Genomic DNA, 27,794 nt, shown 5'->3' with positions numbered 1-27,794 from the left:
CAGGAACGACGTGACATGACTTGTGCTTAGGGAAACTATTAGGGTTGAAAGTAAGGCCACCTTGGGTCCTAATGGCTGTAAGGCATCAGACAAAATACGTCAACTATGTCAGCCTACATTTTCTCATCTTTCAAACTGCCATAACAGCAGCCACCTCTTCGGCCGGCCAGGCCTGGCCCAGCTGGATTAAATGAATGAAGCGCAGCAAGGGCTGGGCGTAGGTAAACTGTGCAGTCATCCTCTTCCACGACCTCCGCTGAGCCCACGCCGCTCCGCCCGCCGGCCGCCAGGGATCGCTGTGACGTGGCTCGGGCCCAGCACGCGGCCGCTCTGGCCCAGGGAAGTCCCTGTCCTTACCTTCAGCAGGAGCCGGTTCCCTGTGTGTGTGTCCGCTCGCCCTCTGCTCCGTCCTGCGGCTGCCCACTGCCCTCCTACGGTCCACCATGGCCCTGCTGCACTCCGGCCGCGTCCTCCCCGGGATCGCCGCCGCCTTCCACCCGGGCCTCGCCGCCGCGGCCTCTGCCAGAGCCAGGTAAGCCAAGGGAAACGGAGATGGAGCCAGGGCGATGGCCCTGCCCCGCCGAGCTGCGAGCACCCCAGGACATTCACCCCTCCCGGCCCCCAAATACACACTGTCACTCACACGCACACACACACACTTTTCTGCCACCCCCTCGGCTTTCCCTTACTGGGGACTGAGGATTGAGCGTCCGTGCCCCACAGTGATCCTCAGGATCCCACATCCCTCTGGTCCCCGCACTGGGCCCTGCAGGAAGGCGTGCAACGCAATCCCTAGGGAAAGGAAGTGTGGCCCTCGGCGGTTGCCGGACTCCCATTCAGTGGGAGGGGTGCGGATAGTACTGGGGCAGCGGCGCCGGGTAACGACCGTGCCCTTGATAGGGTGCCCTGGGGGCGGCGGGCGCACCTGTCCTGGCCCCCGGCCCGCCCGAGTCGGTGGGCCGGCGGCGGCTGGCTGCCGCGTGTGTGCCCTGGGCGGGAAGAGCGCGAGAGGAAGGTTTCCGGGGCGCCGGCATTCGGGCCTCGCTTTCCTTCCCGCACCTGCGACCTTGGCGTGCGGCATTCTCCTGACCTTGCGACCCCCCGAGGTCCCTGTGACCCCGGGGCCCGTTTGGCCTTTGCTTGGGAAAGGGTCGAGGTGTAGTGTGTCTCTTTTTTTGTTTTGTTTTGTTTTTTCCTTATTGCCCCTAAGGAGGTCCGGTTGCAGGGAGGCTATCAATCTTCCTCTCCATCTCCCTGTGCTCTTTCATTCAGTAAATATTTCGTAACTGCAGTTTCTCAGAGCCAGGCTCTGGACCAGATGCCAACGATACAACTGTGAACAAGGCGAGGGAAGGACAATGACAAATGGTCATTGCTCAAAAAATGACAAACGTAATTTCGTACTGTGGCGTGTATAATAGTATGGAGGGAAATTTCAGAGCTTGAAACGAGCTCTAGTAATTCATTCCCAGTGGAGACCGGAGCCAGAAGATTAATTCAACTCAAGAAGCCGATTTGGAGCACTCTCCTTAAGCACTACCTTAATAAGGAACTGAGTTTTAAAACCACCCCCAAGCAGGTATTAACTGCAAGGAGCAAAGCGTAGCTTGGCCTTTCGTTTGAATGTATGCTCTGTGTCTTTCAGCCAGCAGAACTATCTGTCCTTTCCAAGGCCCCACAGCCTTGGCAGTACAGTTTTGCCCAGGCTTCGCACTTTTTTCTCTTCCTGACTTGGCTCCTTCCTGGCCCACTGTCAACGTGTGCTCTTTAAGTCTGCCTACCTAGTGGGCCAGAGCCAGGAGGAGTTATTTATGCAACAAATTTGGAAAACCAAAGGAGTGCTTAAAATTTCCGTCAAGAGAAAGTATGTTTCCCTATTGCAGTAATCTTAAAATAATACCTTGTTTTATGGATTTGGCTAGATCACCTGAAGCTCTAGTGCTTGGTGAAAATCCCTTGGGGTCAGGGTTAGTCATTCTTTCAGTTTGAGAGTCTGACTCATTTTTCTTTTCTGTATTTTTCTTACTAGAATGTAAGTTCCATGAGAGCGGAGACTTTACCTACTTTATATTCACTGTTACATCTCAGCACTATTAACAGTTGCTGGCATGTCTCTTATATTGGATATTTTTATTTTAAGCCCTGATTTTTCACGTAATGCAACGGAAACAAATACAGTATGACATTTTAATGTTGTATCTTAGATCAAAATCTGAACATAGGCTGGTCCAAGTGTAATGGTGTTTACAACTAATTGATCATAACCAGTTACAGATTTTATTGTTCCTTCTCTCGACTAATCTTACACAGGGGAACCACAGTGCTGCAAAATATGTACCAAAAAAAATTCCCTTTTTTTTTTTCTTTAAATACAGGGTCTCACTGTGTTGCCCAGGCTGGAGTGCAGTGGCACAATCATGGCTCACTGCAGCCTGACCTTCCAGGCTCAAGTGGTCCTCCTGCTTCAGCCTCCCAAGTAGCTGGGACTGCAGGCATACACCACCACACCCAGCTAATTTTTTATTTTTTGTAGAGACAGAGTCTCCCTGTGTTGGTCTCAGACTCCTCCCACATCAGCCCCGCAAAGCGCTGGGATTATAGGCTAAGCAACCCCACCTGACCAGAAAATAAATTCTTGAAATAGTTGAGCACCTAATGTTGAGGAATTACTCTTCAGATTTAAATAATGATACCTGATTAGGTGACAGAATCAGATGCCATATTTGGCATGAAGGTTAACTCTTCAGGCAAGATCAGACTTCCCTCCTTACACTGTGGAAGTGATCTTTACCTAGCTCCAAATGGTAAAAGTGGAAAATACTTAAACTGAATTCATCGACATTTCTATTTAAATGGCTCATTCTAATACAATAAAACCTTGTCTGTTGTTATTCTGAAGAACTGAGGATTTATCCAATGGCATACTTGGAACTCTTTGTAAATATGTGGAACTCTTTGTAAGTTCAAGTGTATCATTTAGCTAAACACTGCGAATAAAACTTTCTCTTGTTGACTTGTACTGTAAATGTATAGTGACATGAGATCAGACATAGTTGCAGTTCAATGAAGAAAAAAAAAGATGCTAATGTATTTTGATTTATAATGATTTGCTTTTAATTATTTAATTCTGATTATTTACTTTTTGGTGAAATAACTGAGCAGGTCTCGTGAGACTTTAAAAATGCAGTGTGCAACTGTGGTACCATAACCATTGGTTAAAAGATCACAGACCAGGCACAGTAGCTCACACCTGTAATTCTAGCACTTTGGGAGGCTGAGGCAGGTGGATTGCTTGAGCTCGGGAGTTCTAGACCAGCTGGGCAACATGGCAAGACCCCGTCTCTACATAAAATACAAAAATTAGCCGGGCATGGTGATGTGCACCTGGAGTCCCAGCTACTTGGGAGGCTGAGGTGGGAGGGTCGCTCGAGCCTGATCGCTTGAGAGGTGAAGAGTTGCAGTGAGCCCGCTGATCACGCCGCTGCACTCCAGCCTGAGCAACAAAGCAAGACTGTGTCTCAAAAAAAAAAGATCACAGCTGTGCTATTGTCTCTGCCATTTTTAGCTCTGTGATTGTGGGCAAGCTAATTAACTTCCCTTCTGATTTTAAAGTAAGAAGAATGTGAGGAAAAGCAGTTTAAAAACTGTAAAACTTTAAGTAGGCTTAAGCTCCAGGGAAATTACAATGCGTTTCGATTGGAAAGGCTTACCTGAATACTTGGTACCTAACCTCTCTTGGATGACCAGTCAATATTGCTCAATGTTTGAGGCTTTGTGCCTGTATCCAAAATGTACTGATAGAAATCACTTTCTAGGTCACAGGTTATCAGCATGAGTTTTGCCCCTAGAACACTCCTATTTTCATCTACTCGATTCCTTTAAAAACATCAGAGTTCTTACAATATGTGTGTAGTCTTTACCATTTTAAGAAATGGAATAATGAAAGGCATGGAGGAGTTGAAAGATGGTTACTAATGTGGGGCTAATCAAATTGAGTATTCCCTCTAGGCCAGGTGCCGTGGCTCACACCTGTAATCTCAGCACTTTGGGATGCTAAGGTAGGAGGATCACTTGAGCTCAAGAGTTGGAGACCAACCTGGGCAATATGGCACAACCCCATCTCTACAAAAAACTAGCCAGGCACGGTGGCACACACCCATAGTCCCAGCTACTCGGGGAGGATCACTTGAGCCCGGGAGGTAGAGGCTGCAGTGAGCCGTGGTCACGCCACTGCATTCTAGCCTGGGTGACAGAGTGAGACCCTGTCTCAAAAAAAAAAATTGTATCCCTCTAGGAGGGGAACAACAGACACTGGAGCCTACCTGAGGGTAGAGAATGGGAAGAGGGAGAGAATCAGAAAAAATAACTGTCAGGTACTATGCTTATTACCCAGATGATGAAATTATCTGTACACCAAACCCCCAGGACATGCACATGTACCCGTGAACCTGAAATAAAAGTTAAAAAAACCTCCCATGCCTCTGCCCTTCAGATGCTAGTAGCACCTGCTTTCCCCCAGAGTTTCAACAAACAGAAATGTCTCCATAAATTGTCAGTGTTCCCTAGCTAGGCAACCCCTTCCTCTCTCTCTGGCTAAGAATAACTTTCCTTGTGATCTGGATTATAAACTTGTCTCAAGCAATAGATACATAGTTTTCATACCTGTGTTCTTTAATCTGTACTTCATTTTCAATCTCAAAACTAGCATTGTAATTGTAAAATGAACATAATTTATTACATTTTTAAAAAAAAAATTGAGTATCCCTGCTCCTATATTTAGATTGTTTAAAAATTCAGTATTTTGAAATTGTGTTTAGAATTCTTAAAAGACAGAGGCTGGAGGGCTGGGGCTGAGGGAGGGTGGTGGGCCTGCGGGGACATTCTTACTGTGCAAACATAGCGATAAAAACATGTCATTTTCCAAAGCAAAAACAAAAACAAAAAAAAAGAATTCTTAAAAGGTATACCAGAAGACACAAGTCTATGGTTTCTGAGTTTCTATGCTTAACATTTTAAAGAACTTGAAAAATAAGTGCTTTTCACACCATTTAACAAGAATGATGCTTTCTCTCCTTGTGGTAGGGAGCAATGGGCAGTGGCTTTGTTATGATTGAGGGTCTTGGAGGATACAGACCATTGTTTTTTCTTTTTCTTTTTCTTTTTTTTTTTTTTTCTTCCTGAGACAGGGTCTCTATGTAGCCCAGGCTTGTCTCAAACACTAGGCTTAAGTGACCCTCCCACCTCAGCCTCCTGAGTAGCTGGGACTACAGGCAAGAGCCACTATGCCCAGCCAGACCATCTTTTGAAAAATGAAAACTTTTCCAGAAGTGTTCTCTTTTATAATCTAGTATGTCCTTGACATTCAGGGTATTCCTTTCACTCGGCAGTTAATGACAGTGATGTAGATAGACAGGTGGCTGCATGTTTTCAGGGTCTGAATTGTGGATAAGTAATAATGAAAGCTTTCTTCAGGCCCAGTTCAGAAGTTGGTTTAAGGTATCTGTGCTTCTTACTATTGCCTAGGTACTAGGAACAGCCAAGCAACCTAGAGCCACAGCAACACAAAATGAGAGGCAAGCTATTAAAAGAACTGGCACCAACACTAGTGAGGGGGAAGGGTGATAATGGCAGTGTCTCCTGATTCTCTAGAAAAAACTATGCAGTAGTAATTGAAAAGCAGAAAAGGGCCGGGTGCGGTAGCTCACGCCTGTAATCCCAGCACTTTGGGAGGCTGAGGCGGGCAGATCACTTGAGGTCAGGGGTTCAAGACCAGCCTGGCCAACATGGCAAAACCCCATCTCTACTAAAAATAAAAATAAAAAAATTAGCCGGGCGTGGTGGCGGGTGCCTATAATCCCAGCTACTTGGGAGGCTGAGGCAGGAGAATCGCTTGAACCCGTGAAGTGGAGCTTGCAGTGAGCTGAGATCGTGCCACTACAGTTCAGCCTGGGCAACCCAGTGAGACTCTGTCTCAAAAAAAAGAAAAGCAGAAAAGGTTGGTTGGAGGGTTGTGGGTTATTGTTAAACTGATTAACATTGTCTCCCCCCACAGCCATGCTTGATTTGCTTTGTATTTAAAGAGAAAGAAAAACAGAAAGGACCTGCATTTGGTCACAAGGTCTTACGGCTGCATATGCTCCTTGAATTCTCTACATACTGGCCTCACCAGGCTCTGTACTAGGATGCAGGATGGTTACAAATAAAAGTGGAGTGATAATAATTTAGTAACGATGACTATTAGCGAACATCAGGCACTCTGCCAATTTAGGTTTTGAGTGTTTTTTTCATCATTAGACCAGCCCTGTGAGATAGGTAGTTTTATGGCCCCATTTTACAGATAAGGAAAGTTGATGCTTGATTTACTTGCCAGTGCTCACACAGCTGGCAGGTGGCTGAGCTATTATTTGAATCCGTACAGTTTGCCCAGTACTGAAATTACCCAAGGCAAACTATTAAAAGAAACATTACAAGAAATAAGAGCCTGGGAAATCCAAAAAACTGGAAATAATCTGCCCTTTAATAACAGAGAATTGACTGTACACACTAATTAATTACAACGATTGAGACTGCAGCAGTCTTTAACTTGTCAAGGGAGCATGAATTAAACTCTGTACTGCCATCAAGTGTGCCCCATGGAGGAGTGAGGTGTATGAGTGCTGACTAGCCACAAGTACATTAAGAGAACCTTTGTTGGGAAAGAAATGTTCATGAGGTAATTCACGAGTTTATCAGCATGGTGAACACGGAGAACTTCCATGGTACCATACTGAAACATGTGGCTGATTCACAGTGGATGAGTGATTACTAGGAGAACTTGAGCGATTCTCCTGCAACAACCCCCAGCTCCTTCTCACCGTGAGCCTTTATTCTTAATTCTCTTCTTGGAAAGCCCTTTTACTCCTCCTTTCAGCCTTAGCACTCAGCTGCTAAGTCACGTCCTCTGGGAAGCCTTCCTAACCTTGTGCAGTACTTTCCTTCCCTTCTCCAAGCTATTACGTCCTCTGCTCAGGGCTCCCATAAGTAATATCCCATAATAATGCCCTGGGTAGGTGTGTATCACTATCCATCATCTCCCTGCAGTGCCCAGCCTGCATTACGTGCAGATCTCTGCTGATCACCACAGTGTACTAGTCAGGTGGTAAGGGATTGTGTTGTACTCTTCTTTACATTCCCAGCCCTTAGCATAATGTTCTTAATGATTGCTTTAGAAGATCATAAAGCCTAGAAAAGTGTTCTGGCAAGGCAGAGAATCTCTACACTCTAAACTGATTGCACAGTTTTTTCTTTTTTTAAAAAAAAAAAAACCTTTTATATTGTAGGTGAAGTCATTAATGACTAAACCAAGGAAACTAGGCCATCAAGATTGGGCAAACTTTGTTAAAATGTTAACTTGTGTGCGCCTGTAGTCCCAGCTACTTGAAAGGCTGAGGTGGGAGGATGGCTTGAGTCTAGGAGGTCAAGGCTGCACTTCAGCCTGGGGGACGGAGTGAGACCCATCTCTTTGTTTGTTTGTTTATTGAGACGGAGTCTTGCTCTATTGCCCAGGCAGGAGTGCAGTGGTGCATTCTCGGCTCACTGCAACCTCCGCCTCCTGGGTTCAAGCGATTCTCATGCCTCAGCCTCCCAAGTAGCTAGGATTAAAGGCGCACGCCACCTTGCCTAGATAATTTTTGTATTTTTAGTAGAGACAGAGTTTCACCGTGTTGGTCAGACTGGTCTCAAACTCCTGACCTCAGGTGATCCGCCTACTTCGGCTTCCCAAAGTGCTGGGATTGCAGGCGTGAGCCACTGCACCCGGCCGAGATCCATCTCTTTAAAAAAGAAAAAAAAAGTTAACTCAGCTTCTTTTCAGATTCACTTACTATAAATCAAAACAAAATTCACAGCCGGGTGCAGTGGCTCACGCCTGTAATCCTAGCATTTTGGGAGGCCAAGGTGGGTGGATCACTTGAGGTCAGGAGGTAGAGACCTGACCAACAGGGTGAAACCTTGTCTCTACTAAAAATACAAAAATTAGCCAGGCGGGGTGGCACACATCTGTAATCCCAGCTATTTGGGAGGCTAAGGCAGAAGAATCGCTTGAACCCAGAGACAGGTTGCAGTGAGCCACGATCGTGCCACTGCACTCCAGCCTGGGTGACAGAGCAAGACTCCGTCTCAAAAATAAATAAATAAATAAATAAATAAAGCAGGCCGGGGGCGGCTCACGCCTGTAATCTCAGCACTTTGGGGGGCCGAGGTGGGTGGATCATGAGGTCAGGAGTTCAAGACCAGCCTGGCCAACACGGCGAAACCCCGTCTCTACTAAAAATACAAAAATTAGCTGCGCATGGTGGCAGGAGTTTGTAATCCCAGCTACTTGGGAGGCTGAGGCAGGAGAATCGCTTGAACCCGGGAGGCGGATGTTGCAGTGAGCCGAGATCGCACCATTGCATTCCAGCCTGGGCGACAAGAACAAGACTCCGTCTCAAAAAAATAAAAAATAAACAAAATTCACTAAGTTTTGTCCTCATATGCTCTTTCATATTTAAAACAAACTGGTCTTTTAGGATGGTAGTTCTCCCTGGGAACATGTTCTGTGTTAGTTATGTTAGCATGCAATGTGTTTCCATCATTGCTATTGTCAAATGAATCAAAAAGTATAACAAGCTGCTCAGTTTTTCTAATACAGTAAGTATTAATAGTTATACCCCACATAAATAAAAGCTCTTTGGGGTTTTCAGTAAGTTTTAAGAGTATAACAGGATCTAAAGATCACAAAGTTTGAGAATTGCTGCTTTAGACCAATACTACTCTTTTTCCTTAAAAACACACAGTTGTATTTATTTGTCACTGTTGATCCTAGTGTGGTCTCAACACTCATTGCTTATCTTTTAACCAAAGTAGCTTCTATTTCCCAGAGAAAATTAAGAAGAGAGGGTGGTGATGTCAGTCCTACACAAGCATTCTAAACAGACTGGCAAAACTCGTGAACACACGCAGTACAACTTCTACAGCCACATGTATCCCTTTTATACCTCCTTAAAGTGGCAACAAAGAAAGACCTTTTTATTTTAATGACTCAAAGCTATAGCCTCTCGAGCATGTAAAAATAAACAAAGGTATATAAATTTTAAATTATGCTTGGTAATCAATGTGTCTGTAGTCTATCTTAGAAATTATTTAGGTATACAATGAATAATAATCTGTTAATCAATTCATTGTAATATTAGACCAAAAGTGTAAGTTACCCTAAAGATCTTAGAAATTGTCTTCAAGGCCAGGCGCAGTGGCTCACGCCTGTAATCCCAGCACTTTGGGAAGCTGAGGCGGGCAAATCACATGAGGTCAGGAGTTCAAGACCAGCCTGGCCAACGTGGTAAAACCCCATCTCTACTAAAAACACAAAAATTAGCTGGGTGTAGTGGCGGACACTTGTAATCCCAGCTACTTGGGAGGCTGAGGCAGGAGAATCACTTGAACCCAGGAGGCGGAGTTTGCAGTGAGCCAAGATCACGCCACTACACTCCAGCCTGGGTGACAGAGTGAGATTCCATCCCCCAGCTCCAAAAAAAAAAAAGAAAGAAAGAAATTGTCAAGCTGGCATATTACAAAATACAATTACTGTTCTCCCAAAAGCTTATCCCCAGTCTAATAAGAAAAACATCAGACAAATTCCAGTAGAGGGGCATCCTACAAGATACCTGACCAGCATTCCCAAAATTGTCACAGCGAAGAGGAGCTTATGGAGACATGCAACTAAGCATAATGTGGTGTCCTAGATGGAATCGTGGAACAGAAATAGGTAAAAGCTAAGGAAATCTAAATAATGTGTGGACCTAATAATGTATGGACCAGGCATGGTGGCTCATGCCTGTAATCCCAGCACTTTGGGAGGCCAAGGCGAGCAGATCACCTGAGGTCAGGAGTTTGAGACCAGCCTGGCCAACATGGCGAAACCCCGTCTCTACCAAAAATACAAAAATTAGCTGGGTATGGTGGCGGTCATCTGTAATCCCAGCTACTCCAGAGGCTGAGGTGGGACAATCGCTTGAACATGGGAGGCAGAGGTTGCAGTGAGCTGAGATCACGTCATTGCACTCCAGCCTGAGTGACAAAGAGGGAAACTGTCTCAAAAATAATAATAATAATGTATCAGTATGGATTCATTAATTGTAACAAGTGTGCCATACCAATGTAAAATGTTAATAGGGGAAACCTGGGGGTAAGGGTATATGGGACTGTACTATCTGCTCAATTTTCTGTAAATCAATACTGTTTTGGCTCACGGAGGCTGAGGCAGAATTGTTTGAACCCTGGAGGCAGAGACTGCAGTAAGCCAAGATTGCACCACTGTACTTCAGCCTGGGTGACAGAGCGAGACTCTGTCTCAAAAAAAAAAAAAAAGTTTGTCAGAATAGCAATTCAATTTTATTTAACACAAATTTGTATTTTTCATAATTTTAAATATATAAGAGTAATATGGCCGGGTGCGGTGGATCACTTGAGGTCTGGAGTTTAAAACCAGCCTGGCCAACATGGTGAAACCCCATCTCCACTAAAAATACAAAAATTAGCTGACGTGGTAATGCATGCCTGTAATCCCAGCTACTTGGGAGGCTGGAGTGGGAGAATCACTTGAGCCCAGGAGGCAAACGCTGCAGTGAGCCAAGATAGCACCACTGCACTCCAGCCTGGGCAACAGAGCAAGAGTCTATCTCATAAATAAATAAGTAAAATGGATCTTGGATCTAGCTAATGGGATTGAGCTAATGTGTTTCTCATTTCAGCTCCTGGTGGACCCATGTGGAAATGGGACCTCCAGATCCCATTCTGGGAGTCACTGAAGCCTTTAAGAGGGACACCAATAGCAAAAAGATGAATCTGGGAGTTGGTGCCTACCGGGATGATAATGGAAAGCCTTACGTTCTGCCTAGCGTCCGCAAGGTGAGCTTGCTGTTCATCTCCTTTTGAATGGGATGAATAAACTGAAGAGAGCCCTGGAGAGTGGCAGGAATAGTGCTGGACCGGGAATCAGGAGCCCTGGGCTTTAGTTCTGGCACTAATGGCATGAATCACCCGGGTTTTCTGGGCTGTAGTCTCCTTGACTGTAAAGGTGAGAGGTTGGAACCACCTGTTTTTTCCCAAGATTGAACTTTCTATGGTTCTGTGATCATCTATAAAACAGACATTAAATACGCTTTAGAAATGCTTAGCTATGCCTACTTTAATCCTGAAGGTGCATAAGAGGACCAAGACTTTAAGCGCTGTCTCTTGTTGAGAGGAATAGCTCTTCGTGGATTACTATTTTTATTTTCCATTTCTCTAACTGTGATTACTTTAATCAAACCTTTGTACACAGGCATGCTCTGTCCTTTCTTCCTGCTGAGCTATGCAATTTTCACCTCTTTCTTTTGTTATATTTTTATTAGTAGCATCTTTATTTGTTAACTAAATAATATAACAAATCCCCTTAGAATAATTTTTTAAGTTATTCAGCAAGTATTTGCTACTGCAACCTGCATCACTACCAAGCACTATTGTACATTCCCTCATTCACACTTCACCTCAACACTGTGAGAGGTAGAAATAGTTCCTCCATTTAACAGAGGAGGAAACTGAGGCTCAGGAAGGCTAAATAACTTGCCTAGGGTAACACAACTTGTAAGGGACAGCCAGGCTTCCAATGCCAAAGCACGAAGATGTGTGGCTATTACTGTTAACACTTCGAAGTTCTTAGACTGGCATATAGCTTGACATGCTTTCTCTTTTGTATTTAGTTTGATTTAATCATCTTATATCTATTTTAGGTGTTGCTCTTAAACCTTGGTCTTGTGCATTCCAAGAATCTCATTTTATGTTAAATTGTAACCAAGAGAGACTATACCCATCCACATAAAACCTAACTTAAACAATAAAATACAATTTGAAAAAGAAAGTATTTCTGTTCTGCAATACAAACTATCAAGCATTCTACCTACCCTTCTTCTCAGAGAGTAACTTCAAATTTTAAAAAAAGGTTTGGCCGGGCGCAGTGGCTCATGCCTGTAATCCCAGCACTTTAGGAGGCCGAGGCAGGTGGATCACCTGAGGTCAGGAGTTCGAGACCAGCCTGGCCAACATAGTGAAACCCCGTATCTACTAAAAATACAAAATTAGCTGGGCGTGGTGGTGCACGCCTGTAATCCCAGCTACTCGGGAGGCTGAAGCAAGACAATCACTTGAACCCGGGAGGTGGAGGTTGCAGTGAGCCGAGATCACACTACTGCACTCCAGCCTGGGTGACAGAGCAAAACTCCATCTCAAAAAAAAAAGACTTTACCTCCAAAACTTAACTTATAAAACTTTAAACATTAATCATAGTAATTCCAAGTAAGGAGAAGAAATTCAATGGATGTATTTTCTCTTGTCTAGGCAGAGGCCCAGATTGCCGCAAAAAATTTGGACAAGGAATACCTGCCCATTGGGGGACTGGCTGAATTTTGCAAGGCATCTGCAGAACTAGCCCTGGGTGAGAACAGCGAAGTCTTGAAGAGTGGCCGGGTAAGCTGAGCAGGCTCTGGCATCATCCCAGGTCTGTTTTAACAAATTTGTAATTATTTAAACAATTTTAGGCCAGGCGCGATGGCTCACGCCTGTAATCCCACCACTTTGGGAGGCCAAGGCGGGTGGTTCATCTGAGGTCGGGAGTTCGAGACCAGCCTGATTAACATGGAGAAACCCCATCTCTACTAAAAATACAAAATTAGCCGGGCATGGTGACACATGCCTGTAATCCCAGCTACTCAGGAGGCTTAGGCAGGAGAATCACTTGAACCTGGAAGGCAGAGGTTGTGGTGAGCCAAGATCATGCCATTGAACTCCAGCCTGGGCAACAACAGCAGAACTCCATCTCAAAAAAAAAAAAAAAATTTAAGAAATATGAAAAGATAACTCATTTTGTGTGTAATGATTGTTTTGAGGAGGCCACACTATTTCTAATAATTCTTATTTGATAGTAAATTGCCATCATTAAATAAAATAATTTACATGACACCAATTCCAAAAATGTACTAGTAGTAATCCTGAAAATGCGGTAGTCATTTGACTGATAGATTTGATGTTACTTTTGCTGTTAGTCTCTACCTGCTTATGTTCATTTTACATCAAATATGCTTTAGAAATGTTAACTATGCCGAGTTTTAAGCCTGCAGTTAGCCCACACCCTCATGTCCTAAGCTTCCAACTTGCACAGAAGCAGCAAGCAGGAAACAAGCCATGGGTGGACTGTGGGGGCTGGACCAGTCTGGCAGCCCTCTGCTGTCCCTTCACAGCCCACATGGACACAGAAAGAAGACCACGCTCCCAACATGTGAACTCGTGCACATTGTGGTTCACTTTCTTTTGAAAAAAACATGTTTTTTAGTGAGTGCATTTGTACGTTTTTCTGGGTAAGCCTGGGGAGTGAAGAAACATACAAACTAGCAAAATTAAGTCAACATTTTTTCTGCCCTTCCCCCTCTGAAAAGCCAGAATAAATACACTTTATTTACAAGACTGGTCTAAGTCCACACATGAATTCGTTAACTCAGAGTAAAGCACACAACCTCAACCCCAGGGTTATGTAGTAATTATCCTACGTCAAATAGAATTTGGTTTAGTTCTGTCCATACAGTCAACTGCCTGTTAGCCCCTCCTGGAAATTTCTGTACTTTTTAATTCATGTGCTCTTTTGCCTAGTCTCTGCTCCATCTAAATAACAACCTAAGTATGAAACTGGCCTACCTTAAAATAACATCAGCTTGTCTTTTATAAGTTGTTGTGCCTCAGCCGGGCGCAGTGGCTCACTCCTGTAATCCCAGCACTTTCCGGGACCAAGGCGGGTGGATCACCTGAGGTCAGGAGTTCGAGACCAGCCTGACCAATATGGTGAGACCCGCCCCCCCGTCTCTACTAAAAATACAAAAATTAGCCAGGTGTGGTGGTGCACGCCTGTAGTCTCAGCTACTGGGGAGGCTGACATGGGAGGAATCCTGGAACCCAGAAGGTGGAGGTTGCAGTGAGCCAAGTTTATGCCATTGCATTCTAGCCTGGGTGACAGAGCACGAACCTATCTCAAAAAAAAAAAAAAAAAATTGTTGTGCCTTTGTGAATCGTAGTATCATCGGACCTACAGTGAGGTTTTTATTTCCATCATGCCAAAGCTTGCAGGACAAACTATTTAAAATAATTTTTTAGTTGGGTTTTTCCCTCTTTAATCTACTACCACCCCAGTCCAGAAAAATACATTTGTGCTTTGTAGAGCCTTGTACTTCTACAACACCTTTAAAAACAACAAACAAAAACCTCTTAAACCTATGGTAATTTCTTGTTTGTCCCTTAAAGTTGACCAATTTGAATAAGGAGATTCACCTTAGGCATCTTCCTATTACCCAAAACATGAATATTTTCAGATTATGAAAACACATAGAAGGGGACCTCTTAGAAAACCTTTATTTATTTATTTATTTAGAGATGGAATTTCGCTCTTGTTGCCCAGGCTGGAGTGCAATAGCACGATCTCAGCTCAACGCAACCTCCGCCTCCTGGGTTCAAGCAATTCTCCCGCCTCAGCCTTCCTGAGTAGCTGGGATTACAGGCATGCGCCAACACACCTGGCTAATTTTGTATTTTTAGTTGAGACAGGGTTTTTCCATGTTGGTCAGGCTGATCTCGAACTCCTGACCTCAGGTGATACGTCCACCTCGGCCTCCCAAAGTGCTGGGATTACAGGCATAAGCCACTGCGCCCGGCCAGAAAACCTTTAAAATGTTGTAATGTTATCCTTGTATACTTGTTGACTTGCTTTTCAAGGAACTTTGATGTTTAGAGAGTCATTCTACTTTGTATAATTCTAAAGTAATGTTTTAATGTAGTGACTGTTCTCAGTGTCTTTTTATTTTATTTATTTATTTTTTTTGAGACAGAGTCTCACTCTTTTGCCCATGCTAGAATGCAATGGCACAGTCTCGGCTCACTGCATCCTCCACTTCGCAGGTTCAAGCAATTCTCATGCCTCAGCCTTTCCAGTAGCTGGGATTACAGGCATGCGCCACCATGCCCAGCTAATTTTTGTTTTAGTAGAGACAGGGTCTCGCCATGTTGGCCAGGCTGGTCTCGAACTCCTGACCTCAGGTGATCCACCCGCCTTGGCCTCCTAAAGTTCTGGGATTACAGGCATGAGCCACCGCACCCAGCCTCTCAGTGTCTTTTTATATCTTTTATATAATTCACCCCTTTTTCATATTGAGGAGGAATTTTTGTGTTCTGAAAGTTTCCCGTGTAACATGAAATGATACTGACAGGCCATAAAGAATGAGCTTCTGAAGTATGAAAGGTCCTGGACAAAGCAGTGGCCCTGGGTCTGGGCCTGTATAGAGAGTGTTGCACATCACTGACCGTGGGTATCTCTCCTTCAGTTTGTCACTGTGCAGACCATTTCTGGAACTGGAGCCTTAAGGATCGGAGCCAGTTTTCTGGTGAGTCTGGAAGCTTCTTCAGGAAAGAATTATAAATTCCAGATGACAGGGCTTCCTGTTGTGTGTGTATTTGACTGTTGATGCAGAAGTAGATTTCTTCTTTCCGTGAAGTTTGCAGATGTCCTATTCTCATGAAAAAATGAAAGGACTTTGAAGAAATTACAGGAAAGATATATTAGTGATGATGATAAATTCAGTTCACTAGGAACTTACTATTTACTAGGGAGCTTTTGCATTTTAACTTGTTTAATCCCTATGAGAGAGGTACAATTAACCCCCTTTACAAGTGAAGAAAGCAAGACCCAGAAAGGTCCTTGGCTACATGGCCAGTATAACTGTCAGAGACTATTCCAACCCAGGCAGTCTTACTGCTGAGTCAATACTGCTTCTCAACCATAGAGAGAAACTGGGTTTCAGCAGAGAAAAATGTTCTCTCAATAAAACACATCAACATTTTTTTGCCTCTCCTTTGTTCATTTTTCTGTTTCCTTTCGTCCCATCTTTTAGCAAAGATTTTTTAAGTTCAGCCGAGATGTCTTTCTGCCCAAACCAACCTGGGGAAACCACACACCCATCTTCAGGGATGCTGGCATGCAGCTACAAGGTTATCGGTATTATGACCCCAAGACTTGCGGTTTTGACTTCACAGGCGCTGTGGAGGATATTTCAGTAAGTGTGGCTTTCAGGGTGAGAGAGGTGAATAAAACTCCTTGCTTGCGGACATTTGATGTCTCCCACCATGTCCCAATATCTGAGTTAAAATACTGGGGAAGAGCTGATTCCCAGGGTTCTGGTTACCTTTGTTACTTATCAAATGATGACGATCCTGTGGCATTTCAGATAAACCATTTCCTTTAAAGCTGCAAAGTCGTCTCTTGGCTGTTTTTCTCTTTAGAAAATACCAGAGCAGAGTGTTCTTCTTCTGCATGCCTGCGCCCACAATCCCACGGGAGTGGACCCGCGTCCGGAACAGTGGAAGGAAATAGCAACAGTGGTGAAGGTGAGGACGATGAACTCACTGGCGACAGTTCTGTGTTTAGTAACCAGCTTTGGAGGCTTAATTTGGCAATGTCTCAACAGAGAGTCTTAACCTCGAACCTGCGTGAAATGTCCACACAGGTGGATAAGCTGCCAGAAAAGGGCTCCCCATTTGCGTGATTAGCAGTTCTGGGATTGATGACGCATGAGTATTTGAAAGTAATTTTTTTTGGCTGGGCGCGGTGGCTCACGCCTGTAATCCCAGCACTTTGGGAGGTCGAGGCAGGTGGATCACCTGAGGTCAGTTCGAGACCAGCCTGGCCAACATGGTGAAACCCCGTCTCTACTAAAACTACAAAATTAGCTGGGCGTAGTGGCCCATGCCTGTAATCCTAGCTACTTGGGAGGCTGAGGCAGGAGAATCACTTGAACCCAGGAGGTGGAGATTGTGGTGAGCCGAGATTGTGCCACTGCACTCCAGCCTGGGCAACAAGAGCAAAACTCTGTCTCTAAAAAAGAAAAAAAGAAAATAATTTTTTTCCTCATCCTGGATGTAGGGAACTCTGATAAAACCTGTCCACTGGCCCCAGGATGTCTGCTGTTGATGCCTATATTCGCCCTGGTCAGTGGTTGCTTATTGATCTTTTTAAACACTTTTTCATGTCCTCTCCTTTGCAGCATTGCCATGATCACTCTCAAAGTGTAGCCAGCTGTCAGAGAAGACACTAGTCAAAATTCCTAGGGAGGAAAATGTTATTCCTGTTGTCTCATGTCCCTGTTTTCCCTTTTCACTCCTTTTCATTTCCCTTTCTTTTCTCTCTCTCTCTTTTTTTTTCTTTTGAGACAGAGTCTCACTCTGTCGCCTTAAGCCAGAACGCAGTGGCACAGTCACAGCTCACAGCAGCCTCTACCTCCAGGGCTCAAACAATCCTCCTACCTCAGCCCCTGAGTAGCTGGGACTACAGACATGTGTGCCACACCTGCCTGGCTAATTCTTCCTATTTTTCACAGAGACAGCATCTCACTTTGTTGCCCAGGCTGATCTCAAACTCCTGGGCTCAAGTGATCCTCCCACCTTGGCCTCCCAAAGTGCTGGGATTATAGACATGGGCCACCATGCCTGGCCAGTTTCCCTTTCTTTAACTTCTGTCAAATCTAAGCTGCAAACAGAATGAGACAGAAACAGCATTTGGAGAGCACTTTCAAGATAAAATGGTTCTAATGATGTTGTCTCGTGAGTCCTGGGTATAAGTTGAGTCTTCCAGGATTACGTTAGCCCCAGAAAAGGCTTATTGTGCTTATTGGGACCATGCCCACCTCACATAAACATCTTTCAGACTTTTATAAACATCTGGGGCCTCTTCAGAAAGACTGCTAAAGCTTCGATCTTTCGTTCCTTCTCAGAAAAGGAATCTCTTTGCGTTCTTTGACATGGCCTACCAAGGCTTTGCCAGTGGTGATGGTGATAAGGATGCCTGGGCTGTGCGCCACTTCATCGAACAGGGCATTAATGTTTGCCTCTGCCAATCATATGCCAAGAACATGGGCTTATATGGTAAGCTACAGCATCCAGCATGACACATGCTCTCATGCTGGGAGAGAATGCCACGAGGGCATAGAGCTTGTGGGTGTGTGTGTGTGTGTGTGTGTGTGTGTGTCCATCCATGTCCATGTCCCTCCCTACCCTAAGATGAAAGACCAGTATCGTAGATTTTACTGATTTTCTTAGCCATATATTCTTCGGTGTCCTTAAGTTTTTCCAGCAAAGGAAACTGATTACTGCTTCTCTAAACAAAAAGTAACAAATCCGTGAGCCAAGAAGATAGATACAATAAAAAATACCTTTGAATACTCTGAGTACTCAAAACTTCCTTGTGCCTCAGTTCACCACTCTGGTTGTTGAAAGCTTTTTATTTATAATAAAGTTATTTTGGGGTCCTTTGGATGGAAACAGATAATACGTAGCAAATACACTCATGATTTGCTTTAGCACATTAGATAGTAGAAGTAGAAGACGAGATCCATTTTTGTCTTTCAGGTGAGCGTGTAGGAGCCTTCACTATGGTCTGCAAAGATGCGGATGAAGCCAAAAGGGTAGAGTCACAGTTGAAGATCTTGATCCGTCCCATGTATTCCAACCCTCCCCTCAATGGGGCCCGGATTGCTGCTGCCATTCTGAACACCCCAGATTTGCGAAAACAATGGTAAAGGTTTATGCCACTCCCCAGCCACCTACCTGTTCCCACCACTGCTCCTTCAAAGTTAGTTTTTAATTGACCTCTAGTGATATACAGTACCCCATAGATTCCATATGTGGAAGGCAGGGAAGGAAGCAAAAAATGTGCATTCCTTTTTTAAAAAATTAAGGCCGGGCACAGTGGCTCACGCCTGTAATCGCAGCACTTTGGGAGGCCGAGGCAGGTGGATCACCTGAGGTCGGGAGTTCGAGACCAGCCTGACCAACATGGAGAAACCCCGTCTCTACTGAAAATACAAAATTAGCCGGATGTGGTGGTGCATGCCTGTAATCCCAGCTACTCGGGAGGATGAGGCAGGAGAATTACTTGAACCTGGGAGGCGAAGGCTGCAGTGAGCCGAGATTGCGCCATTGCACTCCAGCCTGGGCAACAAGAGCAAAACTCCGTCTCAATCTATATATATAGATAGATAGATAGATTGGTTGAGACAGGGTCTTGCTCTGTCACCCAGTCTGGAGTGCAGTGTTGCAATCCTAACTCACTGTAACTTTGTACTCCTGGCCTCAAGCAGTCCTCCAGCCTCAGCCTCCCGAGTATTTGTTAGCACTTTGAACCAAGTTAATTGATATTTCTCTGTAAGAGGCAGTCATAATTTTTAAATGGTAGTTCCTTTTATTCCGTCATCTCCGTGTTAAGTAGAACCTGCTTTCCCCTAAAATCAGTTTCAAATTAAGTACCTTACATAGGAAAACTTCCTTAAAAACATCATATTTTTGTTTGTGTCCTAATAATTGCTAGCATTGAATCCGTATTTTTGCATATGTTTGTATTTTATTGTAGAGACAGGGTCTTGCTGTCTTGCCCAGGCTGGTCTCCTCAAACTCCTGGGCTCAAATGATCCTCCCACCACAGACTCCCTAAGTGCTGGGATTGCAGGTGTGAGCCACTGCACTCAGCTTGTTTTTTATTATCTGTACTATCTGACTCTCAACATCTGTTCTCTGAATTAGTGTTACTAAATTTTTTTGACCACAATCCACATAAGAAATATATTTAAGTCTGGGCACAGTGGCTCACACCTGTAATCCCAACACTTTGGGAGGCTGAGGTGGAAAGATCGTTTGAGACAAGCCTGGGCAACATACTGAAACCCCATCTATAAAATTTTAAAAATATATATTTTACATCATGACCTTGAACATATTATATACTTATATGTGTATATAACTGAAACTGTCTTCCAGACTCAATACTAAAGGCTTCATGTGCTTTACTCGAGTTTTTTGTTTTGTTTTGTTTTTTGTTTTTTTTTAAACAGTCTTGCTGTGTCACCCAGGCTAGAGTGCAGTGGCACAATCACTGCAACCTCCACCTCCTAGGCTCTAGCAATTCTCGTGCCTCAGCCTCCCGAGTAGCTGGGATCACAGGTGTGCACAACGAGACCCAGCTAATTTTTTTTTTTTTTTTTGAGACGGAGTCTCGCTCTGTCGCCCAGGCTGGAGTGCAGTGGCGGGATCTCGGCTCACTGCAAGCTCCGCCTCCCGGGTTCACGCCATTCTCCTGCCTCAGCCTCCCAAGTACCTGGGACTACAGGCGCCCGCCACTACGCCCGGCTAATTTTTTGTATTTTTAGTAGAGACGGGGTTTCGCCATGTTGGCCAGGCTGTTCTCAAACTCCTGGCATCAAGTGAACCACCTGCCTCGGCCTCCCAAAGTGCTAGGATTACAGGCGTGAGCCACCAAGCCCAGCCTCCACTCCAATATTTTCTAAATGCCAACTGCATCTTACTAAGTTGAATTTAACATACTAAGCCAGGTAAGGTGGCTCACACCTATAATCCCAGCATGCATTTTGGGAGGCCAAGGCAGGTGGATCCCTTGAACCCAGGAGTTGGAGACCAGCCTGGGCAACATAGCAAGACTGTGTCTCTATTAAAATAAAAGAAAATAAAAAAATAAAAAATAAAAAAATTAACCTACCAATGGGTCATGACACATAATTTAGAAAACACTGCTGTAGAAAGGGGTTGGCAAACTGTTCTGAGAGTCAATCCAGTTTGCCCCCTATTCTTGTAAATAAAGTTTTATTGGAACACAGCTGTACCCATTTGTTTATGAATTTTGTATAGCTACTTCTTTGCTGCCATGGCCGAGTGAGCAGTTGTAGAAGGCAGAGACCATATGGCCTATAAAGCCTAAAATAATTACTGTTTGGCCATTTACAGAAAGAATGCCAACCCCTACTCTATGAGTTCATAAAACCATGATGCCTGTGGAAGGTGTGATTTGTTATATGAGTTTATCGTATATTTGTTATATGAGCTGCTTAGTTGAGAGGTCACATCTCTGAGCAGCTCTTGGGTAGAAAAGCTAAATCTGCTATCTCTAAGAAACTTGATATGTACCTCCCCTAGTCATCATGTGACAACTATTTTTTCTGTCTCTCTGTCCCATGAAGATTAAAGTAAATACTAAGAGTCTGGTTCAGGATAGTTTTTTTTGTTTTTTGTTTTGTTTTGTTTTGTTTTTTCCTTTTGATTTTTTATAAAGACAAGGTCTCACTGTGTTGTCCAGGCCAGTCTCAAACTCCTGGGCTCAAGTCATCCTCCCACCTCAGCCTTCCAAAGTGCTGGGATTACAGCTGTGAGCCACCGCACCCAGCTCAGGGTAGTTCTTTATGGTATAATAGGTTCATGCTAGACCTACCAAAAATTTGAGTACTTTTTAAGTTATATTTTTTTGCAGCATGATATTAACATGTAAGTATATTTCAGAAAGTTTGTGAAAGGGAAAAAATTAACCATAACTCTAGCTATTCTAACTCAGCTTTTTTTTTCCCTTACCCATTGTTTGTTTGTTTTTTCTTTATTTGTTTTTTGTTTGTGTGTGTGGTTTTTTTGTTTTTTGTGTTTTTGTTTTTGAGACAGAGTTTTGCTCTTGTTGCCCAGGCTGGAGTGCAATGGCACAATCTTGGCTCACTGCAACCTCTGCTTCCTGGGTTCAAGTGATTCTTCTGCTTCAGCCTCCCAAGTAGCTGGGATTACAGGCATGTGCTACCACGCCCAGCTAATTTTGTATTTTTAGTAGAGACGGGGTTTCTCCATGTTGGTCAGGCTGGTCTCGAACTCCCGACCTTAGCACTTCGGCCTCCCAAAGTACTGGGATTACAGGCGTGAACCACTGCGCCCAGCCACCCATTGTTATCTGTAGTTGTGACATACTGTTATATATGTATGTGCAGGACTGGTTTTGGTTTTGTCACTTAGAATTATACTAAGCTTTTTTACTTAATATTTTCAATGTTTTTAAAAATATTTTCATATTCTCTGGTTATGAAGATTTTTTTTAATGCATGCATTTCAATACACAATTTGAGAGTCTGTAGTAGACAAAGATGCCAGACTGTGTTAATGACTACCCTCAGGGTGGTTATAATCTGATGAGAAAGATACACACATGACTTTCTTGTTCTTGTTGTTGTTGTTGTTGTTGTTGTTCTTGTTGTTGTTTTGAGAGAATCTTGCTCTGTGGCCCAGGCCGGAGTGCAGTGGCACAATCTCAGCTCACTGCAACCTCCGCCTCCTGGGTTCAAGCGATTCTCCTGCCTCAGGCTCCCCTGAGCTGGGATCACAGGCACCCACCACCATGACTGGCTAATTTCTGTATTTTTAGTAGAGACTGGGTTTCACCACATTGGCCAGGCTGGTCTCAAACTCCTGACCTCAATGGATCCATCCACCTCAGCCTCCCAAAGTGCTAGGATTATAGACGTGAGCCACCGCGCCTGGCCACACATGATATTTAATATAAGACAGAATGGAATAAATGATGACTAAAGGGAGAGCTGTTGATTCTAGTGGGGAGTTAGAGAAGATGTAATGAGGACTGCGGCATGTGAGCTGTGCATTAAAGAGGGGAAAGGGCTTTTTTTTTTGCAAAGGAAATGAAACGGACAAGGAAACTGGGGAGAGATCTGAGTGAGGGCATAGGCGTGGGACGTGCATTATGCAGAACTTGTGTAGAAAGCCCCAAGTTGTTTTCGTGATGAAAACACGAATGTGAGGAGGACTGTGGGAGACAGCCAAGCTGAGAAGGTGGAGCAGATCGTGAAGCACCCTGGTTGATACTGTAAGAAGTCAACACTTGATTCTCCAGGCAACAAGGAGGATGGAGGGGTTTGGCTAAGATGGCTCCACATCTAGCCCTGTTCATGCACTCAATATCTTTGGGATCCAGGCCTCAAAGTGAATGAAGCTGGACGATGGAAACTGTAGGAAATTTAAAATCAGATGCCATAACTGGAGGGGCCAGGGGCTCCTCAGCTCCAGCCAGTAATTATTTTGCTAATACAGTGCTATCGTTTCTCATTTTTCAAGAGAAACTACAGGTTTCAGCTTTTAGGCACAAGTGCCCAATTTAAAAACGTTTCACTGGGTGAAGTAAAACATTACTAGGTCCCATATTTGGTCTTTAATTGGCAGTTTGTGATCTCTCTTCTAACCGTGCATAACATCATTATACAGAGATGGTTTAGGAAAGTGAACACCTAAGAACAGGGAGATAAACTGTAAATGGGAATGTCATTGGTGAGAGCCAAGAATGTCCCAGAGCCATGGGAATGGAGTGGAAAGGGTAGATTCTGAGGAAGGGGAAGGTTGTATTCAGAATCAGGTGATCCCCGTGCACAGTCAGAGGACTACCTTCTCCAGTCCCTCAGACAGAATTTACTCTCCTTGGGGCTTTTAGCATAGCAGTGTCCTATGTGTTTTACATTTTGTGGCCGTATTCCATACTTGGTTTACAGGTTTGGTTACAAGCACCCCTTGCAAGCTTTTGAAGGCAAGGACTATGTCTCAGTCCTCACCACCTAAAATAGCTTGGCTCATTGTAGATTCATAGTACATTGTCTCAATTGTGAAGATGGGAATGTATATTTCATCCATGTCAAAAATAAGGTCATTTTTTTTTTTTGTTTAACCCACAGCTTTTACCTTAATCTTAGTAGGTTTTAGAGTGATTCATTCACTTTTCTTTTTTTTTTTTTTTTTTTTTGAGACAGAGTCTTGCTCTCTCACCCAGGCTGGAGTGCAGTGGCGCCATCTCCGCTCACTGCAAGCTCTGCCTTCTGGGTTCACACCATTCTTCTGCCTCAGCCTCCCCAGCAGCTGAGACTACAGGCACCCGCTGCCACGCCCGGCTAATTTTTTTGTATTTTTATTAGAGACGGGGTTTCACCGTGTTAGCCAGGATGGTCTCGATCTCCTGACCTCGTGATCCGCCCGGCTAATTTTTTTGTATTTTTAGTAGAGACGGGGTTTCACCGTGTTAGCCAGGATGGTCTCGATCTCCTGACCTCGTGATCCGCCCGCCTGGGCCTCCCAAAGTGCTGGGATTACAGGCGTGAGCCACCGTGCCCCGCCCACTTTTCTTAATACAGATGCAATTATGATGGGGTTACATCCCAATAAGCCTGTCATAAGTCAGAAATGCATTTAAGGCCAGGCTTATGTCTGTAATCCTAGCATTTTGGGAGGCCAAGGTGGGAGAATCACTTGAGCCCAGGAGTTCCAGACCAGCCTGGGCAAAATGGGGAGACCCTGTCTCTACAAAAAAAAAAAAAAAAGAAAAGAAAATTAGCAAGGCATGGTGGAATGCACTTGTGGTCCCAGCTACTTGGGAGGCTGAGGCAGGAGGATCACTTGAGCCTGGAAGATTGAGGCTGCAGTGAGCCATGATCATACCATTGTACTATCCAGCCTGGGTGATAGACTGAGACTGGGTGATGGACTGTATCTGAAAAAAAGAAAAAGAAAAAGAAAATGGGCCAGGCGTGGTGGCTCACACCTGTAATCCCGGCACTCTGGGAGGCCTAGGCAGGAGGATTGCTTGAACCTTGGAGTTTGTAACCAAACCGCGCAACATGGCAAAACCCCATCTCTACATTAAAAGAAAATTCATTTAATACACTTAACCTACCAAACATCATAGCTTACCCTAGCATACTTTAAACATGCTCAGAACAGGTATTAAACTACAGTTAAGCAAAATCATCTAACACAAAGCCATTTTATAACAGAGTGCTGAATGTCTCATGTAATTTATTCAATACTGTACTGAAAGAAACAAAATGGCTGTATGGGTACTTAAAGTACGGTTTCTATTGAATGTATATTGCATTTGTGCCATCATGAAGTTGAAAAGTTGTAAGTCAAGGACTGTCTCTACTCAAGTGTGTTAACTGCTTCAGTTGCCTTATGGAAATAGTGTTCCAATATAAAACAGAATGCTATAAAATAGCTTTCTTCCCTGGCCAGTGACAGCGTGTCACTCATTCGTGACCTGAGAATTGAGGCACACTAGGGGACTGCTCAAGGGAGGTAAAAATGCAGTGAACTCCAGCATATCGGTCAGTGCTTAGGCAGAATGAGCTGCATCTCAGGGTTTCTTTACAGGCTGCAAGAAGTGAAAGTCATGGCTGACCGCATCATTGGCATGCGGACTCAACTGGTCTCCAACCTCAAGAAGGAGGGTTCCACCCACAATTGGCAACACATCACCGACCAAATTGGCATGTTCTGTTTCACAGGGCTAAAGCCTGAACAGGTGAGTGATTCTGATTTCTCTGCAGCAGACCAGCTGATCAGTCTTTGCAAACCCGAAGGATTACTTTTTTTTCTTTTTTCTTTTTTATTTAATGTTTTCGGGTTTTTTGTTTTGTTTTGTTTTGTTTTGTTTTGTTTTTGTTTTTGTTTTTGTTTTGAGACAGTCTCGCTCTGAAACCCAGGCTGGAGTGCAGTGGTGCAATCTCAGCTCACTGCAACCTCCACCTCCCAGGGCTTAAGTGATCCTCCTGCCTCAGCCTCCCGAGCAGCTGGGACTAGAAGTGAGTGCCACCACACCTGGCTAATTTTTGTATTTTTTGTGGAGACATAGTTTCGCCATGTTGCCCGGGCTTGTCTTGAACTCCTGGACTCAAGCGATCCGCCTGCCTTGGTCTCCCAAACTACTGGGATTACAGGTGTGAGCCACTGAGCCCAGCCCCAGAAGGATTCTTCATAGATCACCCACCTGTTCAAAATTACCCTAAAAACAGTTAAAACAGTTATTTTGGAGCCCTTTTAGGTAAAAGTATTGTAATACTTTTTAGCATTTATTTTGCTTTTTTTTTTTAGTTGTTTACCTCTCTGTATCCCCCATGAACTCACAAACTTCTAAAGAGCAGAGCTTGTTTTGATCATGTTCATAATCACTGTTGCTTCTCCCAAGAGAGCAACAGGAGAAATAGCTGTTTCATAATTGAATCCTGGCTCTGCTGAATCTAAAGGTGTCTTTTTCCCCATCTGTTTATGCATCAGAATTCATCATCCTACTTTAAAGTAGCTTTTTTTTTTTTCTTTTTTTGAGATGGAGTCTCACTGTGTCGCCCAGGCTGGAGTGCATTGGCGCAATCTCGGCTCACTGCAGCCTCTGCCTCCCAGGTTCCAGGTTCCAGGTTCCAGCTATTCTCCTGCCTTAGCCTCCTGAATAGCTGGGATTACAAGTGTGAGCCACCGCCCCAGCCTTAAAGTAGCTTTTTATTCTTATTTTATTCCAAGCTAACAGCAAATTCTGGGAACAGGTTTTAAGCGAGGAAATAGAGCGTTGGTAAGTTGGCTACTGTGCCATGTCAGGCCGGGGAGAATCCCCTGTACCGGGAAGAGGTACCCAAGTTCTTTCCTCTCTGCAGGTGGAGCGGCTGATCAAGGAGTTCTCCATCTACATGACAAAAGATGGCCGCATCTCTGTGGCAGGGGTCACCTCCAGCAACGTGGGCTACCTTGCCCATGCCATTCACCAGGTCACCAAGTAATGTCCCTGGTGCGAGGAAACAGAGACAACCTTTCTGTCTTCAGCCTCTGCTATTGAGAGCTTCACACAGACAATGAGAGAGGGTGGATGGTGGTGAGTGGATCATTTCTTTCAGCCACAGTGTGTAACACTCAGCATTTGAATGTTTCTCAGAAAAGAACATGTAGTGACACAGGGCAGAGGCATCCATGGCTGGCGTCTGGAATATTAAACCAAACTCTCCCCGGTCCTTTTTTCTCCAACTTTTCTCAAAGAGTTTACATGTGCAAGAAAGTCATCGCACCAAAAAACCTGTCAATTATGCCATTGCAATATTTCAGAAGCTTTAACTGAAGTGTCAGGTTCCTCGTGAGAAACAGCACACGTTAGAGGCTTTGAGAGAAGGCCTAGTTCTGTCATGAGTAGTCGGCCTCGTGTCTGTCCTCCCATCTTGGAACAACCTTATCAACAGGCCGCACTGCAGAAATGATGTTTTATGAAAACCAATGAGGCTGCTGCCACTCCAGCAAGGGAAATAATGCAGTTTCCTGTCTTATTTAAGAAAAAGAGAAGGCTCTCTTTTCTCCCTTGTCATTGCCGTTCTTTTCCTTACACGCAAAGATTTTTTAACTATTGCAGATTTTCATCCCATTCTACTGCTTGATTGACCATCAACTCCATCCTATCGAGATTTATTTAAGAATGAAGAACATAATTTTCTGCTGATGCTGTACCCTCACCCTTTTCAGCAAAGAATAGTGGAGAGTAGGAAACTGTACTTTATCTCGGCATCCTCTTGAATGATAGTGCAAGTTTCTCCAGTTGGGATGTTGTCTCTGCCCGGTTGGACCTCCTCCCTTTGTTGAATGTGGTGTGCAGCCTCTCATCTCACACTGTGAGTCCAGCGGCGCAGGGTGGTACCAGGAAAGAGGATATTCTAGGCTTTGCGTGCTGCTAGCTGGGTTCAGGCTTCACCCACTGGAAAGAACCACCATCTGCTCTAACCATGTAGACTTATTGCGGCCTGGTTTCTCTGTTACAATAAAATTACTGTAGACCCAACTACTGTCTACTAAGTTATCTTTTTTCTTTAATGGGAGGAAGGGGTAGGAGTGGGTAAATAAATAAAGGGGTAGGAGTTTGGAATCGTGTAGCTGATCATAAGCCAGTAGATGTATCCACTATTCCAAATATTGGCTGAAGATTCGTCGTTTTCTTCATGTTGCCATTCAGTTTGTCCAGTCCGAAGATGCTGAGAATGTGGGTGTAATCCCTTGGACCTTGTGGGGAACAAGTGGAGTCCCATGAAGGATCC

At 44.3% G+C, this 27,794-nt stretch overlaps 1 protein-coding gene and 1 pseudogene across 2 annotated transcripts, besides 6 other annotated features; both read left to right on the top strand.

Annotated features, from left to right (window-relative positions):
• Positions 11-629: an enhancer, noted in NCBI's record as "H3K27ac hESC enhancer chr16:58767947-58768565 (GRCh37/hg19 assembly coordinates)". NCBI's record gives its function as "activates a minimal SCP1, AML or CMV promoter by ChIP-STARR-seq in naive H9 embryonic stem cells {active_cell/tissue: H9 hESC(naive)}" and the evidence as "EXISTENCE:reporter gene assay evidence [ECO:0000049][PMID:30033119]".
• Positions 232-311: an enhancer, noted in NCBI's record as "active region_10935". NCBI's record gives its function as "activates an Ori minimal core promoter by ATAC-STARR-seq in GM12878 lymphoblastoid cells {active_cell/tissue: GM12878}" and the evidence as "EXISTENCE:reporter gene assay evidence [ECO:0000049][PMID:35858748]".
• Positions 356-27,541, top strand: GOT2 (glutamic-oxaloacetic transaminase 2). Of its 2 annotated transcripts, NM_002080.4 has the most exons (10): positions 356-532; positions 10,770-10,926; positions 12,394-12,522; positions 15,417-15,476; positions 15,984-16,145; positions 16,372-16,476; positions 17,859-18,009; positions 18,493-18,658; positions 25,105-25,255; positions 26,379-27,541. In NM_002080.4, the coding sequence occupies exons 1-10, from the start codon at positions 444-446 to the stop codon at positions 26,499-26,501; spliced, it is 1,293 nt and encodes a 430-aa protein (NP_002071.2). In that variant the 5' UTR covers positions 356-443; the 3' UTR covers positions 26,502-27,541. The 2 variants fall into 2 exon arrangements, with proteins under 2 accessions (NP_002071.2, NP_001273149.1); NM_001286220.2 differs by lacking the exon at positions 12,394-12,522.
• Positions 752-841: a silencer, noted in NCBI's record as "silent region_7556". NCBI's record gives its function as "represses an Ori minimal core promoter by ATAC-STARR-seq in GM12878 lymphoblastoid cells {active_cell/tissue: GM12878}" and the evidence as "EXISTENCE:reporter gene assay evidence [ECO:0000049][PMID:35858748]".
• Positions 942-1,031: a silencer, noted in NCBI's record as "silent region_7555". NCBI's record gives its function as "represses an Ori minimal core promoter by ATAC-STARR-seq in GM12878 lymphoblastoid cells {active_cell/tissue: GM12878}" and the evidence as "EXISTENCE:reporter gene assay evidence [ECO:0000049][PMID:35858748]".
• Positions 5,996-6,076, top strand: RNY5P9 (RNY5 pseudogene 9; annotated as a pseudogene).
• Positions 13,373-13,667: an enhancer, noted in NCBI's record as "tiled region #2773; HepG2 Activating DNase matched - State 5:Enh". NCBI's record gives its function as "activates a minimal TATA promoter and a strong SV40 promoter by Sharpr-MPRA in HepG2 cells {active_cell/tissue: HepG2}" and the evidence as "EXISTENCE:reporter gene assay evidence [ECO:0000049][PMID:27701403]".
• Positions 15,418-16,617: an enhancer, noted in NCBI's record as "BRD4-independent group 4 enhancer chr16:58751959-58753158 (GRCh37/hg19 assembly coordinates)". NCBI's record gives its function as "activates an origin of replication core promoter dependent on BRD2, P300/CBP, MED14 and CDK7 cofactors, and independent of BRD4, by STARR-seq in HCT116 cells {active_cell/tissue: HCT116}" and the evidence as "EXISTENCE:reporter gene assay evidence [ECO:0000049][PMID:35650434]".
• Positions 27,542-27,794: the final 253 nt, after the last annotated feature.

The sequence above is a fragment of the Homo sapiens genome, chromosome 16 (genome assembly GCF_000001405.40).
Source record: "Homo sapiens chromosome 16, GRCh38.p14 Primary Assembly".
Lineage (NCBI taxonomy): Eukaryota > Metazoa > Chordata > Mammalia > Primates > Hominidae > Homo > Homo sapiens.
The sequence above is the reverse complement of the archived record's forward strand: the minus strand, read 5'-3'. Positions and strand labels throughout refer to the sequence as shown.

What these genes read in the sequence shown, in the direction of transcription:
- GOT2 (NM_002080.4), top strand. Translation starts at nt 444, where the DNA reads ATGGCCCTGCTGCACTCCGGCCGCGTCCTCCCCGGGATCGCCGCCGCC. An exon ending in TTCTGCCTAGCGTCCGCAAG is followed by an intron (nt 10,927 to 12,393) that starts GTGAGCTTGCTG and finishes TCTCTTGTCTAG; the next exon opens with GCAGAGGCCCAGATTGCCGC. An exon ending in CAGGGCTAAAGCCTGAACAG is followed by an intron (nt 25,256 to 26,378) that starts GTGAGTGATTCT and finishes TCCTCTCTGCAG; the next exon opens with GTGGAGCGGCTGATCAAGGA.